Source organism: Homo sapiens, chromosome 1 (assembly GCF_000001405.40).
Source record: "Homo sapiens chromosome 1, GRCh38.p14 Primary Assembly".
Lineage (NCBI taxonomy): Eukaryota > Metazoa > Chordata > Mammalia > Primates > Hominidae > Homo > Homo sapiens.
In genome coordinates, this window is record NC_000001.11 from 60,820,030 (window position 1) to 60,826,029 (window position 6,000).

Sequence of the window (6,000 nt, forward strand, 5' to 3'; positions counted from 1 at the left end):
AGTATATAATAATGAATATATGCATTTTTTTCTAAATGGTCTAACACAAAGCTTTGACATGCATACACAACAATTCAAATATGAATTATACATACTTCACTGATAACATGGATGTATACACCACAACAGTTTTTTTATACTTCACTGATAACACGGATGTATACACCACAACAATTTTTTAAATATATGGTGATGATTGGTGTTGCCCACAAATTTGAGTAGTTCAAAATTTGCCATATAGGGTTCTTTTTCTCTTATGGATGAAGAAGCTCCAACTGCACCAAGCCTTCTGCATATAACTATATACTTTAGACAATATATGAAGAAACAACTACCTCATGTTACCAGAGAGTGAGCAAAAGAAAAAAGTTCTATAGAGAAGGAAACAGCATAATAAGTATCACTTTTAAAATAGATCGACCCTGAGGGCAGGCCACAGTTGGCACCACTACATAGCTAAAACTCTGATAGAAATCCCAAAAGAAAACCTAGCATCTTTCTGTCCTGAAAAATTAGAGAACAGAGTTCACTGTAACCATAACTGCTGTAAAGTCAGTGGGGGAGGTCTCAAAAAGGAGAAAACAAGTGTGGGAAGCCCCAAATTCTGTATATAAACTCCATCCAAGTCTGGCTGACTTCTGAATTATGCACACTTGTGGCAAGCTACTAACAGCTAAAATAAGAATAATAGAACTGAACTAAAATTTGCATAGATTCCAAAGGGACACATTTTTCAATTTGAACCCAATTAAGTTAACATTCTCTCAGAACAAAAATTTAACACCTTAAGAAGAATATATAGAATAGAGTCTGCACAATACAACAGTGAGAATGTCCAAGATATACTCCAAAATTATTCTACATACAAAGAAACAGGAAAATGTGATCTATTCTCAAGATACAACATAATCAACAGAGACCAACCCCAAGCTGACCCAGAAGTTGGAATTAGAAAGCAATTATTTTAAAAAGCTATCATAATTTGTGCCCAATCATATAAGGAAAAATATGCTCATAATAAATAAAAATAGAAAATTAATAAAAACTGTTAAAAAAAAGGAAATCATAGAACTGAAAACACAATATCTGAAATTTAAAAATTTACAGTATGGACATAATAGCAGAGTGGAGAATATAGTAGAGTCTGCCAACTTGAAGATAAACAGAAAATATCCAATCTGAAGAAGACAAAAAAGAGAAGCAAACAAATCCTAAAAACCTATAGACAAATATCAAATTATCTAACATACATGTAATTAGAGTTGCAAGAGAAGACAACCCACACAGAAAAAGACGTGAGAAAATAATGACTGAAATTTCTCCAGATTTCCTGAAAGACATAAATTTACAGATTCAAGAGCTCAATCAACTCAAAGCAGAATAAATATGAAGAAAATCTCACCTAAGCATATCATAGTTAAACTACTAATAACCAAAGGCAAGACAATCTTGAAAGCAGCTAGAGAAAAAGGACACATAGCATATAAGCAAAAATGATTCAGATGTTTGCTAACTTCTCACTAGAAATAATGGAAGCCAGTAGAGAGTGTATCAGTGTCTTTAAAGTGCTGAAAAAAAATAAATGCCAACCCAGAATCCTAACCTAGCAAGAATATCCTTCAAGAATGAGGGCAGAATAAAGACATTTTTAGATAGAAAACTAAGATAATTTGTCATTTTAAAAGAAATTCTCAAAAAGCTTTTTAGACTGAGGGCTATCAATAACATGAAAACTCAGATCTTCAGGAAGGAATGAAGATCATTGGAAGTACTAAATGCCTGGGTAAATATCAAAGATTGTTTTTCCTCTTAATTGTTTTATATGTGAAGACTTAAAGCAGAAATTATACTATCGTCCTTGCAGGTTTATATATGTGAAAAACATAGCATATCGAGTAGCAGTGGATGAGATGACTCTATCAGGTTGGTGAAAAGGTAATTGTGGGTTTTGCCATTAAAAGCAGCCAGATGGATGCTGAAAAAAGGGATCACTTATTTAACAAATATTTATCGAATTGATATATATGCAATGCATTAATATTAGGTGCCTAGTACACAGTGATTAACAAAACAGATTTTGTCTTTTTCATTAAAGCAATAAAAAAGTAGTAAAAGCTTTTGAGCAGAGGAGTAACATGGTAAGATTTACATTTATGAAAGCTCTCTCTTTAAAGAATAGGTGGAGAAAGATGAGAATATATGCAGGAAGAAGAAGTATAAGGCTATTGCTATGACTCAGGAAAGAGATAAAGATTGCTTGGATGCAGCTACTAAGAGTGAAATTGGAGACATTGCTCTGAAATTAATGGATCTGAGAATATTTTGGAAGAAACTGACAGTATATGATGACGAATTGGTTATAAGGGGTGAGGAACAGGGAGTGACTCATGGGTGATACCTAGTTTTCTTAGGAAAAGAAGGTGAAGCAGTCAGGTGAAGATAGTACCATTTGCTGAGCTAAGCAATACTAGCAAAAGTGGGGACCATGAGTTCATTTGGGAATATTTTAAGTTTGGGCTACTCTAATTCCCTGAAAATATCAGGTGCATAGTTTGATGTGTCTAGTCAAACTTATACAGCACTCAAGTGTGTGTTTCAAAATAAATATTCAATACATATTGATATGATTTATTAATAAATATTCAATATGTAACTGACTAAATTGAAATCAGAGGAAAGCAAACAACCATGTATTAAGTGTTGACTCTGACCGGCATTATGTCCACCACTTTATCTACATCATCTCATTTTCAACTTTAATATTATGACTTCAATTTTACAGAATTAGGAACAGGCTCGGGGAAATGAAATAATACAACAAAAAAAAAAACTGTAGACTCAAGACTAAAACTCATGTCTGCCTCTACAAATCCTTCTGAAGTCTTTGTTCTTGCCTCTGTTCCCTCCCACCACCACATAATACTTATTTTATGGAAAATGAAAAAGCTTCTTCCACTCTATCTTAGAAAATATCTCCCTCTTTTCTTCCCTACATGCATTTCTTTTCTCCCACTCAAGCAGGGATACTACAGAATGAAATTCAGCAATTTCTCCTCTGCTTCTATTCAAGATTAAGGGAAGGAAGCCTGTAGAAAAATAAAAAATAAAAAATGGAAAATGCTCCCAGTGCTCCAAGATTGTGGATATACACTCATTTCATGTGTACTCTTCAAAACTTTCAAGGAAGCTGAAATCTAATTTAATCTATTACATGATTGTGCTAAATTACTTAACCACATCAAAGCATCAATGGCCTCACACTCTGGGAAGGGACATTGTAAAATGGTTTTCAAATATATAATGCAGTCTCTCAGGTGCCTGAGACAGGGACGCCCATCCCTGAATATAAAGCTTCCCTTACACTTCTGAGATCAAAACAACAGAGCCATTATTTGAGAGGCTGGATGAAATACCAGAACCATTTCTTATTAGCTTTAGTCATTAAAGAGAATTTAGTAGCCTGGCTATTTATGCCTCTTTTCTTCCTTCTTTAAAAAAAAAAAAAGGCAATCTTAATGGAATGAAAGGGCAGAAGATTTTAAAGATCAAGATTATGAGTAAATTTCCCACTAATTACACTGTTTTCTGCTTTTAGAAAAGAAAAACAAAACCAATTTTCCAATTCCCCCTGCCTCTCATACTAAACATTTTAAGAAAGCAAAGGAAAAAAAAGAAAAAAAAAGATGTTAAGTATATTGTCCTTCACTAAGAGTAAAGACAATTGTTACTATACCACTAGTACTACTGTAAATACTAGTGAAAAGTATCCCATGTGAATCTGTTCTCTAGAATGTCAAAGGCATTTTCCCATAAAAAGAATTTTATGAACAAAAGTTGGATCTCCAGTAAGGCCCACAAAAGCCAAGCCAGTCACGGTGTTGACATAGATCAGTATTGAGGCAATATCTAGAAATCTCAGCAACATCAGAATTACATCTCGACTCCCTCTCTTTCTCCTGTCAACAACTATTTTGAAAGCCATGTAATAGTGAGAATTTAGCTTTTGTATGAAGAAAAGAGAAGGCAGTATAGCTTAGCATACTATGAGCACTAGGACTGGATTACCTAGGTTTGACTCCTGTCACTAAACACTTCCCAGCTCTGAACATGAGACAAGGCCCTTCCCTTATGTGGGCCTCGGCTCCCACATCCACATAACAGGGATTAAAGTAGGATCCTTAGTGTTGTTGTAAGTAAGTTATTACCTTAAAACACAGAGAATAATTCCAGGCACATAGTGAGTACTCAATAAAAGAATGCTATTGTCAGGGCACGATGCCTCATGGTTTTAATCCCAGCACTTTGGGAGGCCGTGGTGAGCAAATCACTTGAGGCCAAGAGTTTGAGACCAGCCTGGACAATATGATGAAACCCAATCTCTACTAAAAATACAAAAATTAGCCGGCCATGGTGGTAGTCCATAGTCCTAGCTACTCGGGAAGCTGAGGCACGAGAATCACTTGAATCTAAAAGGCAAGGGTTGTAGTGAGCCAAGATCATGCTACCGCACTCCAGCCTGGGTGACAGAGCAAGCACTGTCTCAAAAAAAAAAGAAAGAAAGAAAAGTCCATTATTATTGGTACTGTCATACATATTTTATCTAATCTTTGCCATTATCCCTCAATATAAATATATTTATCTTCCATGTCATAGATGAAGAAACTGAAGCCTAGAGAAGTTACGTAATTTTCCAGGGAAACACAGTCATAAAAGATAAATGTTTAAAGATAGAGCCAGATTTCTGACCCAGTCCTGATACCCAAACTCCAGGTTCTATCATGTATGGCCATCATGCAATGCCTGTGAAGATGCAGGGTTCTCAAAAACACATCCTTCCCCTGCCTCCCAATCCCCTTCACTAATTCCTCAGCCACTGACCCCACAGGAAGAAGGAAAGACAGATGGCAATCAAAACTCTTTCTCCCTTTCCAGGACCCACAGAAGGAGAAGGCTGCCCCAGCTCTGTGCCTAGCAAGGGCCAAGCTTCCATAGATATTTGACCTTTGTAAATTAGGCATTCAGAAGTCAAAGAATGCCTGTATTTAAAATTTCCATTGTAGATTTCTGGCAAATCCATGAGTGTGAGCTCTTTGAAAATGCCACAGGCCTGTGGAAATCCTTGTGGGTGTAATTAGCTAGAGAAAGTGAAGGTGACTGACCATTTACAGTCACATCATAATGAAATGAAGTATTACAGAAACCATGAAGCCAAAACACTGGGAGGGCTGAGACCCACAAAGTAATCTGGACATAGAGATGTTTTCCAGAAACCAACTGTGAAAGAACTAAGAGGGTGTTCTACTCACAGGCTTGACACTGAGCTGGTCCAGTTTCCCTTCACATTCAGAGGCAGAGGCTGGAGAAAAGAGAAGAAAACCCAGATATGAGGAATAAAAGCATTCAAGGCCTGGAAAACAGATCTCGTGGCAGTGGGTTTCCTTAGGAACAAGATGGGAGAAAAAGGATTTTCCCTGATTTCTGGGATCTTCTCACAGCTCCCAAACACTTCTTAATTATTTTGAAAATGTAGTTTTGATTATGAGGAAGGTCCTTTTAAGGAATTACAGAATCTGAAAACTGTAAGAGGGATTGGCCTTTACAGAGCACTTACCATGTGTCAGGCATTGTGATCCCACTATAAATCTTCCAACAACCCTGTAATTATTGTCCTTGCATTACAGAGGAGGCTCAGAGAGGGTTAAGCCCCGCCCAGGGTCACAGAGCCAGGATGCAGGACCCTGGCTCCCAGCCTGCCTGACACCACAGGCAGAGGCCTTGCTCACTCACATTCACTGACTTCCTTTGAAGTCATTTTGTCCAAGCTTCAGCACCCTGTGCAAGTGCCCTGAACAGCACCCCCAATAGGTGGCTTTTCAGTTTCAGTTTGAATAATTGCTGCAAAAAGAAGCTTACTACTTCTTTTTATTGCAGTAAAATACACATAAAGATAACCAATTTATTTTTGTATGTGGGTACACAGTAGGTGTATATATTTATGGG

At 36.7% G+C, this 6,000-nt stretch overlaps 1 long non-coding RNA gene across 1 annotated transcript in view; it reads right to left on the reverse strand.

Annotated features, from left to right (window-relative positions):
* The window catches only part of LOC101926964 (uncharacterized), a 165,954-nt gene extending 160,399 nt beyond the window's left edge, over window positions 1-5,555 (reverse strand). The window contains exon 1 of the long non-coding RNA NR_110628.1: window positions 5,307-5,555. This is a non-coding gene — a long non-coding RNA (uncharacterized LOC101926964). The remainder of the gene's footprint in view (window positions 1-5,306) is intronic.
* Window positions 5,556-6,000: the final 445 nt, after the last annotated feature.